The 14,450-nt window shown below is 45.2% G+C and overlaps 1 protein-coding gene across 4 annotated transcripts in view, besides 3 other annotated features; it reads left to right on the top strand.

The window, feature by feature from the left end:
- VSTM4 (V-set and transmembrane domain containing 4) overlaps positions 1-14,450 on the top strand; it is a 101,287-nt gene that overhangs the window by 55,205 nt on the left and 31,632 nt on the right. For all 4 annotated transcript variants that reach the window (XR_001747052.3, NM_001031746.5, XM_047424711.1 and 1 more), the window contains exons 6-7: positions 11,734-11,840; positions 13,274-13,335. Coding sequence is in view for 3 of the 4 variants with exons in the window: in NM_001031746.5 (NP_001026916.2) it covers positions 11,734-11,840; positions 13,274-13,335 (169 nt within the window). In the remaining variant the exon portion in view is untranslated. The remainder of the gene's footprint in view (positions 1-11,733; positions 11,841-13,273; positions 13,336-14,450) is intronic.
- Positions 3,215-3,401: a silencer, noted in NCBI's record as "fragment chr10:50264962-50265148 (GRCh37/hg19 assembly coordinates)". NCBI's record gives its function as "represses an EF-1alpha promoter that drives an FKBP-Casp9 reporter gene in an ReSE screen in K562 erythroleukemia cells {active_cell/tissue: K562}" and the evidence as "EXISTENCE:reporter gene assay evidence [ECO:0000049][PMID:32094911]".
- Positions 6,681-6,790: an enhancer, noted in NCBI's record as "active region_3345". NCBI's record gives its function as "activates an Ori minimal core promoter by ATAC-STARR-seq in GM12878 lymphoblastoid cells {active_cell/tissue: GM12878}" and the evidence as "EXISTENCE:reporter gene assay evidence [ECO:0000049][PMID:35858748]".
- Positions 6,801-6,900: an enhancer, noted in NCBI's record as "active region_3344". NCBI's record gives its function as "activates an Ori minimal core promoter by ATAC-STARR-seq in GM12878 lymphoblastoid cells {active_cell/tissue: GM12878}" and the evidence as "EXISTENCE:reporter gene assay evidence [ECO:0000049][PMID:35858748]".

Below are 14,450 nucleotides of genomic sequence, written 5' to 3'. Positions count from 1 at the left end.
GTGGGAATATAAAATTGTGCCACCACTTGGGAAAACAACTTGATGGTTTCTTAAAACCTTTAAGTTACCCTATGACCCAGCAATTCCGCTCATAGGAATCTATCCAAGAGAACTGAAAGCATATATCTCATGAAAACATATATGCAGTTGTTCATAGCTGCTGTGTTCATGATAACCAGAAACCAGAGACAATCTAGATGTATCCATCAACTTGTGAATTGGAAAACAAAATGAATATATCCACCCAGTGAGGTACCACTTAGTAATAAAAAGGAACACACTGGGTATGGACCAAAGCATGGATGAGCCCCAACAATAGTAAGTGGAAAAAGCCAGATACAAAAAATTACATATCATATGATTCCATTTGGATAAAATGCCTAGAAAAGGTACATTTATGGAGACAGAAAGGGGATTAGTGGTTTCCTACAGCTGAGGGTGGGAGTGGGGATTAACTATAAAAATACAAGATGGAACCTTTGGGGGTGATAGAAATGTTTTAAAACTGTATTGTAGTGATGCATGAATCTAAAAGCTATTGAATTATACACCTGTGATCAGTACATTTTATGGTACGTCAACTATGCTTCAATAAAACCATTTGTTTCTTTTTTCAAGCATATGTCCCAATAAGGCCCCCAAGACTAGGGTGATTCTGGCATTTCAGACTTGGGTAATGGCTGGAGATTGTCAGAGCTGTGGATGATCAGCCCGCCAACATGCTCAGGATTTGCTTTCTGTGATGTTTTTGTCTGGCCTTTTGTGTCTAGCAAGCAGCCTCTGGCTACTGGGGCCCCTCTTTTTTCCCTTACAGTTTCCTCATTCTGAACTGGGGCTGACTGAGGCTGGAAGTACAGCAAGGATGTCATTCCAGCCTGGTGGACATTAGAGTTTGATCTCCCCTCAGCCCTGGGATAAATGAGGTCAAGATGACCGCAGAATCTTGTTGAAAGGCTGCCTCCTTCTCTGCCAGCCATGCTGGGCACTGTCAGGTTGGTTGGGTGTCTGAGTGGCAGTTCTCCCTATGAGCAGTCTCCTGTTGGGTCAACCCACAGATTTGCCTCTAGAAAGCCTGCATTTACTCTACCTCCATCCCAGGACCCTGCTAGGGCCAGGCCTTGACCCATAAACCTGGTAGTCAGCTCCTGGCCAACTTTGCATTCATTTTCCCGATTAGAACCTCAAGCCTGTTTGACTTAGTGCAGCCCAGACTGGCCGCCAGTGCTAGTGAATTGGTCAATTCTTGCCTTTATGCCTGGCTTTGGCCTGAATTGTGCTCTGCCTCTGTAGCCCAGGCAGTTCCTCCCGTCCCTGTTGTGCCAGTAGCTCCCAGGTCCCAGCACCCTCATCTGTCTGCCTGCTCTGTGCTGCTGCCATGGGCAAATGGGGCCCTGGGTCTTAAGCTGTGATCAAGAAGAATGCCCTTCTCTGGCTTCTGACCATTTCTTCCTAAGGGGGAACAGACAAAAAGCACAGGGTCAGGAGAAGATGCCTGGGTTGGAAACCCTCAGGCAGGGGAGGGGAAGGGCCTCCGGAAGAGACCATGTGCTGGCTCTGAGGCTGCGGTCACTGAATGAGGGGCCTTGCCAAGTAACTGGGCCAGAACCTGGAGACTCAAGGGAATTCCATGACTTGCTAAGAAAAGTTCAAACGGAAGGAAAATAAATCTCATCTTGAATGTTTATTGTCCCTGAGGTTGTAAATTGCTGTCTCTTGGAGGGGTGGCCCTGACCTTCAGGAGTGGGAGACTGTTCCTTTCCCAGGGCAGAATGCTCTGAGGATGCAGAGCAGAGAGCAGGGCCTGAGTAAGCGTCTCAGGGATCTGTGAGGTTCAATGTGCCCTTCCCAGGGAGGACAGCCCTGAGAGCAGCTCAGCTGGAGGATATAAAATTGCTCCAAAATTCCTGGAAACCCGGAGTGAAAACGAAATCCCCCCAGTTGCACAGAGCTGTGATGCAGTCCATTCTGCAATGACTCTCCAATGGATCCAGATGCCTTCTTTCCTGCAGGGCAAGGAAAGTTGTGAGGAGGACTGAAGGGGCACCACAAAGCTAATGCCCAGCCAGGATGTCTCCTGGCCTTTTGCTTCATCTCTACTTACGGGATTGAGATAATAAAGTACTTGCCAATGAGGGAAGTTATAATGCAGCAATGAATGGTACAGAAAGTCAAGGCAATGGAAGGAGAAGCGGCAGGGTATAGATATGGAAGCTGAGGATGGCTGCAGAGACATTGCAGCCCCCTGACTTCGAGAGGTCCAATGGCCTCTCATTAGAGGCATCTATTTGCAAAAGCAAACCTCACCAAAATGAACAGGCTTTACTGTGATCAGTTGTAGGGTCAGATTAATCAGTTCTTTCAGGGGCTTTTCTGGGACACATGTCAGAGTCAGGTCATTCTCCTCCTGAGTGAACCCTCAGTCTCAAAGAACACCAGAACTCTAAACAGACTTATGCTGTGCCCCAGCCATTTCTCACTGTTGTTTGCTTGGATTTTAACTCACATGCATGCTTGTGCCCTCCCTCTGCCCACATCCACCTGAGCAAGCAAGGTGGTGAGGATGGGGGCAGTAGACGCAGGGACGGGGTCTCCCTGGCCACCTCCCTCCCATGCTCCCACGGTCATTACTACCTTGTCATGTCCCCACCGCATCCAAGCACTCAGGCCCAGTGTCCTTCTTCCACAGCCCTCCAGGCAGGGGTGGGAGTGGGGAGGGCAGGCCTGTGAGATGGGGGTGGTTCCTGGCATAAAGAATATGCACCTGGATTCCGACAGCTTCAGTGTCAGGTAGAGTTGTGCCACTTGGCAGCTTTGTGAACTTGGGCCACTTACTCAGCCTTTCTGGGAATGTTTCATCCTCCACAGCAGGCACAGACTTGCCTGTTGTCCCTGTCGCTAAGGGTTTCCATAGGAATTCAATGAGAGAACAGTGGTCGTAGACTGGTGCAGCCCAGCTCTTTACTGGATTTATGTCTTATTCTCAGAAAAACTCTGCAAGGCACAGTTGGTTTCCTCAGACTAAGAGCATGGATGAAACTGCCAATGATTAGACCAATGACTAGCCCTCTGTCATTTACAAACCTTCTGAATCCAGGTTATGGCTTGGATGTTTGTTCCCTTCAAATCTGATGTGGAAATGTAGTTTCCAGTGTTGGAGGTAGTCTTGGTGGGACGTGTTTGGGTCATGGGGGCAGATCCCTCATGAATGGCTTGGTCTGTCCTTGTAATGAATGAGTTCTCTCACCTGATGAATTCACACGAGATCTAGTTGTTTAAAAGAGCCTGGCCCCTCCTCCGTCTTTCTCTTGCCCCCCTCTCGCCGGATGATATGCGGGCCCCTCCTTTACCTTCCGCCATGACTGGAAGCTTCTGAGGCCCTCACCAGAGGCCCAGAAGCAGATGCCAGCACCGTGCTTCCTGTACAGCTTGCAGAACCATGAGCCAATATAAACCTCTTTTCTTGATAAATTACCCAGTCTCAGATATTCCTTTATAGCAACACAAATGAACTAATATACCAGGTGACAGAAAAGACGGCTCAGAATGTCTTGTCCAGGGAGGAATCTTGCAGCTCACTTAACTAGGGATGCTACAGTGGGCAGGTCTCAGGGCAGCTCTAGCCAGAGGGACACAGGGTCATCAGGGTGGTGGCTTCCAGCCCCTGCCCTTCTCTGGGAAGTGCTGTGTCTAGGTGGTGATGAGAACCCAGGCCAGGCAGGCTCCCCTGGGCAGGGACAGGTGCCAGCAGGGGTCAGCCCACATGCATCCATCCATGGCCTTTGTGAATGAGTCATCTCTCTTCCTAACCAGCAGGCACAACCCGGCAGTTAGTGGAGCAGCCTCCAGCATGGACTGAAGCTGAACAGGGAGTGGGGTCTCCCACCCAAATACAGCCTTACCCCTGGCTGAGCAGATGCTGAGGAGTCACCTCTCCCTGCCATTATTACTAGGAGCCAAGCCTGCGACCCTGTGGAGCACCACTAAAGTATCTCCTGATCTCACCAGCTAGTGTAAAAAAATGTTAGCACAAACAAAAACGCCAGCCTGGCAAAGTCTCTGCTGTGGACTTCATGAAGCCAGCAGGGAAATACAAAGGAAGAGCTTCCCTCGCGGCTGCAGGAGCTTCTTGTGGCTCTAAGGATGAGCTTCTTGGGTGATGTAAACCATTTATTGTAAAGGTCATGGGGGCACTGTGGACAGGGAGATGGCTTGGCAAATACCTCACAAAGGAGTAGCATTTATTCTAATGCTGTGCAGAGGATGCATGCAGAAATGTCATGGAGCAGATGCAGCAGAGAGCACAGCTTTGCAACCCGCAAGGGTCTGGCATCCTTTCTGGGTGCATAGGCACTCACTTGGGTTGTAGAGAATACTGCCTTGTCCTGCTTCCGATTCAAGGACTCGGAGAGCATTTTCTGTGGTAATAATTATGGATAATACTGCCAGTAAGGTCATGATAGGTGACTCCCTGTAGGCACTTACTGTGCACTAGACACAATTCTATGTGGTTGGCTCATGTCACCCACTTAATGGAAAAGAATCATTTCAAAGGGTCCCTGTGAGTGGGTGGCACCATTCATCCATCTTGAAAGTGAAGTTCTGCAACTTTTAAGCAGCTCCTGGCATATGGAACCAATTGACTTTGTGTGTTTCAGTGGCAGGGAAAGCTGCTGGAGCAAGTTCAAAAAGCCTAAGGCAAGACATTAGGAAACTCCCCCTGTTTGCATGAGTTCTTGGCCTTTATCAATGGCAGCTGACCTTGGGGAGAAGGGGTATCTACAGTTGTTACTATTATTCATTTTACTTTAAAAGATGGCAACGAATTGCCACCATAGTTGTGGAGACCAATGCCCCTCCTTCAAGATTCTGCACATAATGTTCTGGGCATGGGGTTATGGGGTGGCGAGTGTGCTGTGTGAAATCTTGGAAGGAGGCCATAGAGCTGCTTGGAAAGAAACGGATGGATCCCTCCCTCCATCTGTGTCAGACATCTTTCTTGTCAGAACCAAGATAGGCAGGAAGACAGGAAATACATGGACGTTTCTGGAAGTAAAATAATCAGCTGAAGCGACACCTTTCAAAGATGTGTGGAGCAAGAAGAGCTCAGGGGGCCTGGAAGGATGTTGGGAGGACTGGAGCCAACACAGCTCCATTAGCTCCATGCACTAAGGGTTTCTGAATGGGGATCTTTGGCTTGACGAAAGCATTTGACATCCCTAGGTGTCCCAGTTCAGACCACAATACATCCCTTTGGAGTGTGACAGACAGCTTTGTGCCCAGGAGGAGGGGCATCTACTCATTCAAGAAGGAATAAGATTGAACAGACCTCAAAGAAGTGTTTTGATTTGTAATTCGTATGTCCGGGTGCAAAGATCGCCCTGGGCCAGAGGAAGCACCCAGCATCTTTGAGATGGCTGGATTTGTGAAAGTCCCTTGGCTCACACAGTTCGCTGCACCTCCTGCACATCCCAGAGAGAGACTATATTAGAAGGACCATTTGATGGCCCAGGGACATTAAAGGCAGGGGTGAGGACTCCTGATGCCACATGCACTGTGGTTCAGCACAAGTTGCTTTGACCTCACATTTAGTTTTGAAAGCAGAGTGTGGCTGGGTGCATGCTTCTTAGTTATAATTATGTTTTTTGGTGGAATCAGCTCAGTTTATGCTGTTCCTCCTGCATAAACTGCTCCCCGCCTTCTGCTCCCAAATACTCTTAGTGCTAGAGGCACAAAATTCCCAGCTGGCTAGCCCACCATGCCCACCTTCATTTTGGCAGCTGACATCACTTGTTCCAGACGATTTCCAGGCACATGCCCCCTTCCTCCTCTGCGCTTCCTTCTCAGGATGGCCCTGGGTCTTAGGCACCAGCCACACCCTCAGTCCCCAAGACCCCACTACCTGGGTTGGCCTCTCCTCCTCCCTTTGGGGCAGGAGTTTGAGCAGCTGCAACAGTGCTGTGGGTTCCCCACGCTGAATCTAAATCAGACTTGAAATGCAGTAGAATGTTAATGTCTCCTTCTGGTACTTCTCTTCAGGGAGATGGTTTAAACTGGGAGTAGCCACTGTGGCTCTGGCTCTATTGACCTTGTTCCTGTTCCAGTGTTCTTGTTATCTGTTATCTGGGCTGGGTCCTGGGTCCTTGCTTCAGGGCCAGAGGAAGCAGGCCAACATGGATCAAGTCCCATGTCCCCTTCTCAGCTGGTGACTTTTGAGAAGGACCTGATCTCTCTGAGGCCCCATTTTTGCAACAAGGAGGGCCAGAGGTCACGGATACCAAGCTCTTTCCACAGTGCCTTGCATAGGATGGACACAAACATAGCTGTTACTGTTGTTAACTTTAGTTTCTGAAAAATATGGTTGCTCAGAATTTGTTCAATACCTTGCAAAATCTAGGTTGGCTGCTTTGCCTGGTGTTCTGGAGTGGCTGCCCATCGCTCAGGAATGCAGCCTCTCTCATGACCTGCCTGGTCTGTCCTGCAGCGGTGCTTTCCAGCACTGCTCTATTAGTGGGAGGGCAGCTGTCAAGGGGATGTCATGCTGTAATATCCTGGGCAGGAAGACTTTCTGATCAATGTCTAAGTTGAAACTTGCAGCCCTACTCACTGGGCTGAAACAAGGGCACCATGAAATACCCAAGTGGCAACATCATCCTCCCTGGGTAGTACCATGAAACGTCTACACTGCACCTGTACCCTGGAGACTAGGGTCAGTTGCTATTTAGCTGTTTCACACCCCATCTAATTTAGGCTATGCTCTCTCATCTGACCCTCATAACTTTGCAAGAGAGATAGCCAACATACACCTCCCCTTTTACAGATTGGTGGGTGGAAGCCCGGGGAAGTAAGTGACTTGCCCAGGGTCACCTCTCTGGTCAAAGTAGAATCAGCTTTAGTGGCCTTTTGACCCCTGTTCAGCACCTGTTCACTCAATCCAGCCGCTGTGTGTCATGGAGCAAAACTGCCAAGCCTTTGTGGGACAGAAGCTCCTTCTGGCAGGTGGCCAGGCCGGAACCTGGTACATCTTACAGCAAGGCCTCTGCACGTGCGACATCCTGCCTGCCCTTGTTGGAGGCAGAAAAATAGCCTTGCTCCACAATGAGCTCCCACAAATAGCACTTCTCTCTAATCAAACAGCTCTCTAATTTAGAGGGAGTTTCCGGGCGGGCCTGTTTTCTGTCTTTCTTGGTTTGACTCACTCCAACAAGGCTTGCTCTGTTGTGTCAGAGACAAAATATAGCCCTGTTCCAACCTGAGATGTCGAATAACTTTTCTTGTAAGTTAATCATAAGGTGGACTTTCCTTGCCAAATATTCCGACCAGTCCTGCTGGCTCAAGGGGAGAAACAAGATTCTGAGAGAGTGTCTATCCTATGTCAATGTGGTGATTCATTGTCTAAATGAGATCAAATTGTCGAAATATGAATTAAAATTAAATTTAGTGCAGTTTTACTGTTTTGAAGGAAAATTATGATGACAAAGCAGGTGTTCTCCACCTTAAGGAAATCCCTGAACATAATGTTATAAGTGCACAAAAATGATGTTCCAGAAACTTCCATTTTATATTAAACAGTTAAAAAAAATCCAAAAAGAGAATAGGAAGTGGAAATATTATTTGATTCTACACCGTGCAAGGTGCAGTTGGGGAGACTACCCAAGTTTTGAGGCAAAAGAAGAAAGGAAAATGTCAAAAGATTTTAGCAAAAACAAATTAAAAAACTGCATGGAACAAAAAGCCAGAATTCAAAGGGAATTGGGAAAAATATTTTTCAATAAATATGTCCAAATGGTGTAAAAGTTGCTTGCAAACCTGTAAGAAAAGCTCAAGATCCTAAATCAAGAGCAGAAATCAAGAAAATCCTAAATCAAGATCCAAAAAAAAAAAAAATCCTAAATCAAGAGAAGGAGCTATCCTTCCATCATAAATGAGAAAACTCCTTAGACAAACATGGGAAGTGTCCATTATCACTAGAAATCAGAGAAATGCAAATCAAAAAGGAATCAGCTTTTTCTTCATTAAATGAGTCATTTTAAAAAAATTGACAAGTGGTGTTAAGGAGGGTGACGTAGGTATTCTCATTTGTTGAGTGGCATAGCTGTGGTGTAGTACTAACTTGTCAAAAATCATTTTGACAGTAAGTATTAAATAGCCTTGAAAATGGTCCTTTTCCATGACCTGGTAATTCCAGCTTTAGAAATTCAACCCCAAAATGAAAGTCTAAGAATAAAAAACCATTATGCACAAATACATTTTTAGCAGTGTCATTTCTATATTAAACTGAGAAAGAAATGAGATCTTTAGATGTTAGGGAAATGGCTAAGTAAACATCGGCTTATTTCCTCACTGGAATAGTATGAGAATATAAATATGAAAAATTTAGATTAAGTAAATTAAGAATACAAAATTATAATATAATATGATTTAAAAAACACTATATATGAACAAGGAAGGGTTGAAAATTTGTATCTACACACAAAAAAACTGCACATGGATGTTTATAGCAGCTTTTTTCATAATTGCTAAAAATTAGAAGCAGCTGAGATGCCTTTCAGCAGGTGAATGCATAAACTGTGGTACATCCAGATGACAGAATATTACTCAGTGCCCAAAAGAAATGAGCTATCAGGCTGGGAGCAGTGGCTCATGCCTGTAATCCCAGCACTTTGGGAGGCCAAGGCGGGTGGATCACCTGAGGTCAGGAGTTCAAGACTAGCCTGACCAACATGGTGAAACCCCCTCTCTACTAAAAATACAAAAATTAGCTGGGCATGGTGGCAGGCACCTGTAATCCCCGGTACTCGGGAGGCTGAGGCAGGAGAATCGCTTGAACCCGGGAGGCGGAGGTTGCAGTGAGCTGACATCGTGCCATTGCACTCCAGCCTGGGCAACAAAGAGAGACTGTCTCAAAAAAGAAAAAAAAAAAAAAAAAAGAAATGAGCTGTCAAGCCATGAGAAGTCACGGAGGAAGGGTAATTGCATATTGCTAAGTGAAAGAGGCCAATCTGAAAAGGCTATATATTGTATCATTCCAACTCTGTGACATCCTGGAAAAGACAAAACTGTGGAGACGTTAAAAGATCGCTGGTTGCCAAGGGTTAGGGTAGAGGGAGGGATGAATAGGCAGAGCACAGAGGATACTTGGGAGTGAAACTACTCTGTATGATGCTATGATGCTGGGTTCATGCCAGTATAAATTTGTCCAAACCCATAGAATATACTGTACATCAAGAGTGAACCCTAAGGTGACCTGTGGACTTTGAGGGATACTGATGTCTAATGTCGGTTCCTCAGTTGTAGCAAATGCCCTACTCTAGTGCAGGATGTTGATCATGGGGGAGGCTGTGCATGTGTGGAGGTGGGGGCTATAAGGGAAATCTATCTTCCACTCAATGTTTCTGTGAATGTAAAACTTCTCTAAAAAATAAAGTCTGTTTAAAAGCAAAAGCAAGGAAGAGGAAAAAGAGTGAAAATATTTATGAAGATTGTGTTTTGGTTATGACAGTGTTATTTTCTTTGGTTTCCATGCCTGTAATTACCCTTTTTAAACACGAGCATGCATTATTTTATATTGGAAATAAGAAATAGGCATTTCAAGAGTTTATAAAACTACAGAATGAAGCTGAACATGTGGTTGTATATGTAAACAATTCTGAGAATTTAGGATCCCTTGTTTGCTATTGTTGGTCAAAGTTTTGTAAATTCACATTCTTTTTGGCTATTTGTGAATTTACACAATTGACCCTGTACTCTAAAGCTATGACCAGTTAGAATCTCCGTTCCCAATAAAAATAAGGCATCTTTGGGGAATCTCAGTGGGAACTGTATTCTTGGAATTTATCCCACAACGTGTGATTCAGTTTTTACTTATTTTTATATATCTAGGACTATTATTAGAATAGCCTATCTCTTATTACCCATGTGTATATTTATTTGCATTTAATTATAAACATATCCAGTAATGATTCTCCCTGTCCTGTCTCACATCTGTTTAGTTCCTTAGCACCCCCATTCTAGGGAACCACTATTTTTAAATTCTTGTGAATATTTCTGGAGCTTCTTTATGTATGTGTAAGCAAATGCTAATATATATTCTTATTTCCCCTTATTTTTATGTAAAAGTGGCACATTTTATACATTGTCCAACACCTAGCTTTTCCACTTAGCAATGCATCTTTCCTTATCAGGACACACGTAGCTTCTTCGTCTTTATACAGATGACCCTATGCACGGATTCACCATAATCTACTCAACTAGTCCCTGCTGATGGAAGATGAGCTGTCTCTAATCCATAGCTATTATAAACAGTGCTGTAATAACTGATCTTATGCACACAACATTTCCTACATGTGCAAGGATATCCATAGAACGAATTCCTGGAAATGAAATTGCCAGGTCAAAGAGTCTAAGCGCCTGTAATTTTGATAGATGTTACGAAATCATTCTCCATCAGGAAAGATCACGCTGCTGCCAGCAATACTTTTGAGTGCCAGATTCCCTGCACCCCTACCAATAGTGCTTTGCCTCACATTTGACTGCAGCCATTTTGATTTGGAAAAAAAAAAAAAGAAGTCAGTATACTTTAACTGGAATTCCTCTGTCCTGAGGGAGCTTTAGCATGTTTTCATGTGTAAATGAGTCTTTCCTTATGTGTAAAAACTGCCTGTTTCCAACCTTCTTTTATTTTGATGATTGGGTCATATTTTTATGGATTTCTAGAAATTCTGTATGTATTAGCGAGATAGCCTCTCTTGAGACCTGGACTTACCTAGCTGGGACATGTGCCTGCGGACAAGAGATTATAAAAGGTACTTCCCTCTGGATTACTGGAGCGAATAGGAAGCATTTGCAAGAAGATGAATGGTCATTCAAGAAAGTTTGCGAACTCCAGCCCATGAGTAGCACCGAGAACAAGTTTCATATCGGAGCAGTGTATGTTTGCAGCTTTCCTATTTGCTGCTTACCAACAATGTCACTTAGAGCAATCATGTAGCCTATTTAAGCCTTGGCCTTCTTACCTGTAATGTAAAAGGCTTATCTTCCCGTCCCTTTGGCTTATGGCTAACACATATTAAGAAGCTGATACTGCAGTAATTACACAGGGTCAAGGTAGTTGGAAACACTCCCAGCGCTCCTCAAGGTGAGCTCCCTTCACCTGTCCTAAAGGTAAAGGTGCAGCAAGAGAAGAAAGCTCCGGCAGTCACAGGGGACCCCAGACACATCCAGGTGCAGCTCCCCAGAACCCTTTCCCAGGTGATGGGGAGATGTTTGCCTTTGGATTATGAACCACAGAGGTGTGTGCAAGGAACCTTGGTTTTAGGGAGCTGAAGCAGAAACTTCTAGTGGCATAAATAATACCCCACTGGTGATGTAGCCAAGCCAAAATGTGTAATCAGTTAAACCAGGTGTCAACCATCAACCCATGCATCCCTAGGCAATGTACACAAGCTAACGCTGGGTCCCTCCAAGGAATTTGGGACTGTAAACAGCACATTCATTATAAATCACCAACTGGCTCAACTCATCCTTCTTATCTTGGCCAAAGATCAGTACCAGACTTCCAGACCTCCCTGGAGATGAGCACAGAGTGTTTCCAGTCTACCCATATGATAACCTTCCCTTACACAGGTACACAGGGAGCACTCAGAAACTATTGGAAGCTATTGTGGGTTTTTTTTTTTCCTTTCTCTTTTGCAACAAATCTGCCTTTGGTTTCACTGGAAACTTTTTCTTCTACAGCTCAGGGGAGACTGTCACTAGCGTGACCAGCTTGGCCCCACTACAGCCCAAGAAGGGCAAGAGGCAGAAGGAGAAGCCTGACATTCCTCCCGCAGTCCCTGCCAAAGGTAAGGAGCTGGCCTGCAGTTTCTTACCTGGAAACTATCATTATTGATCCCTGTGGGTCTGGGGTTCCATGTTGGATTATGACAGGGAGCGTAGGCAGATGGGGAATATGACATGACATTTAATGATTATGTAGTCTGGACCCCCACCTAGATTCTGGGCATAACTGGTGCTCAACCACCTCAGCCGTTAGCCCAGTACTTGGGTTGGGGGTGGAGTTGGAGGAGGAAGCAAGGGCCTAGCATAGCTTTAGCAGGGGGAAGATCAACATCCACAGATGATTCCAGATTATGTTTCACTTTGTACTATTAAAACATGCCACACATGAGGTGGGGTGGTGGGTTGGGATGAGGAAGTCTTCTTGGTTCATTCAAGGGAAGAAAAGCTCTCTGAATTTTTAAAGATGTCAACCAGGTGTGAAATTTATTTCACAGTTGCTCTGGGTATAAAATGACGGCTATCCTGTGATTCCAGTTATGATTTAGAGCAATGTAAGTGAGGAAGATAGGTGTTTCTGGAGGAAAGAACTGCGAGAGTATTAGGAGAACCAAGACTGACTATAGATAGTTCCTAAAATAACTGGTCAATTTAGGAGATATTCATACCTTAGCAAATTTGAAATGTAGTTGGGGGAATACAAGGGTTGCCCAAATGAACAATTCTATTCCTCAACTGCGGGCTTTGCATGCTTCCCCTAGGGACACATCAAGCCCTGTGGGGAAGCCTGTTGGTGAGGCTGAGCACACATGGAGTGGAAAGAGGGCTGGAGGGTGTGGTTGTACTGCAGGGGGATGAAAAGCATGGACCTGGGAGGGAAGGGAGTAGAGAACGCCTGCCTGGGCCAGGCATCATACTGCTCGATGTCGTTCATTCCACAGTAGATATTACCCACCCTTACTAAAGTTGAAAGTGAGACTTAGGTACGTGGTAGAGCCTGACTTTCAATGCCAAGTTCAAATCCTAAATGGTTCAAGATTAGTGACATGACACCGTGGGAAGGGCCTCACTTTCTTTTTCTGTTAAGTGGGGACAATAAGACCCTCCCTGATGACCTCACAGGGCTGCTGTGAGGTTCAAGAGTCATTGTGATCAGCGCTAGTGTGTGGGTAGGACGGAGTCTCCCAGGGAAGGTCCCAGCTTCAGCCTTCACTGGGTGCATCTGGTTCACACCTGCACACCTGACATCCATGTAGCTGGCAGAGTTTTATGCAGAGTTGTTTTGTTGACCTTGCTGAGGGAGACGACAAAACGTTCAAAGACTAGGGGAGGATCACGCCCGCCGAGGGGCACTTGCTGACACCTAGATCAGAAAGTTCTTCCATGGGACCAGGAAGGGGTATGAGACCTCTCAGAATATGTCCCTGATGCTCATAATGTGTGGCCACTAAGTGTTCTGGGAGGAACTGCAAGCTAAACCCTTGACCTACTTCCACAGCTCCGATAGCCCCCACGTTCCATAAACCGAAGCTGCTGAAACCACAGAGAAAAGTCACGCTGGTAAGTAACCGTCTTCTGTATTCCTATCATACCTTAAGCCTCAGACACAACTCAGATTCCAAAACAGTGCCTTTATTAACTCAAAACATACAGAAAGTTTTAGAAACTTTTGTCCCCAAACAAAAACATTCTCTATTCTCAGATGCCAGCTTTTGAGTCAGCCTTTCTCCATACTTAGTTCCCAGAGTAACTCTTTAAAAATCCAAATAGTTTATATTATAGATGCTCTGTTTCAAACGGGAGAAAAGCCATACTCAGAAATTTATAAAATAGAAAGTGGACCTGCTTGCATACCTTTACCTGATAATTACTCCAAAGATACTGCTGCACATGTTTTCCAGAAAATATGTCATAGCTTTTGATTTTGAACAATTTTAGATTTACAGAAAAGTTGTAAAGCTGGCACAGAGTGGTCCCATGTACCTTCATCCACCTTCTCTTAGTGTTGGTTTCTTACATAGTCATGGTACATGTGTCAAACTAAGAAATTAACATCGGTTCATTGCTATTAACTACACTTCGGGCTTAACCAGATTTTGGTCTACCTGCTAATGTTCCTTTTCTGGTGCAGGATCCAAATCCAGGATCTCACATTGCATTTAGTTGTTACATCTCCTTGCTTTCCAACAATCCAAGACAGATTTGCAGGCTTTCTTTTTCTTTCTTGGCCTTGACACTTTTGAAGAGTAGTGGCCAGTGATTTTTTAGAATGTCCCTCAATTTGGTACTCTCTGAGGTTTTCTGAGCATTAGAAATGGGGTGTATTAGTCAGTTCTCACACTGCTATAAAGATACTACCCAAGACTGGGTAATTTGTAAACAGGTTTATAAAGAGCTTTAATTGACTCACAGTTCCTCATGGTTTGGGAGTCCTCAGGAAACTTACAGTCATGGTGGAAGGGGAAGCAGGCACATCTTACATGGAGGCAGGCGAGAGAGGGTGTGTGTGAGCACAGGAAAAACTACCATTTATAAAACCATCAGATTTCATGAGAACTCACTCGCTTGTCATGAGAACAGCGGGGAGGAAACCACCCCCTAACCCAATCACTTCCCTCCCTTGACACCTGGGGTTTACAATTTGAGATAACATTTGGGTGGAGACACAGAGCCAA

This window comes from Homo sapiens, chromosome 10 (assembly GCF_000001405.40).
Source record: "Homo sapiens chromosome 10, GRCh38.p14 Primary Assembly".
Classification (NCBI taxonomy): Eukaryota; Metazoa; Chordata; class Mammalia; order Primates; family Hominidae; genus Homo; species Homo sapiens.
Note: the sequence above shows the minus strand (reverse complement) of the source record. Positions and strands in the feature narration are given on the sequence as shown.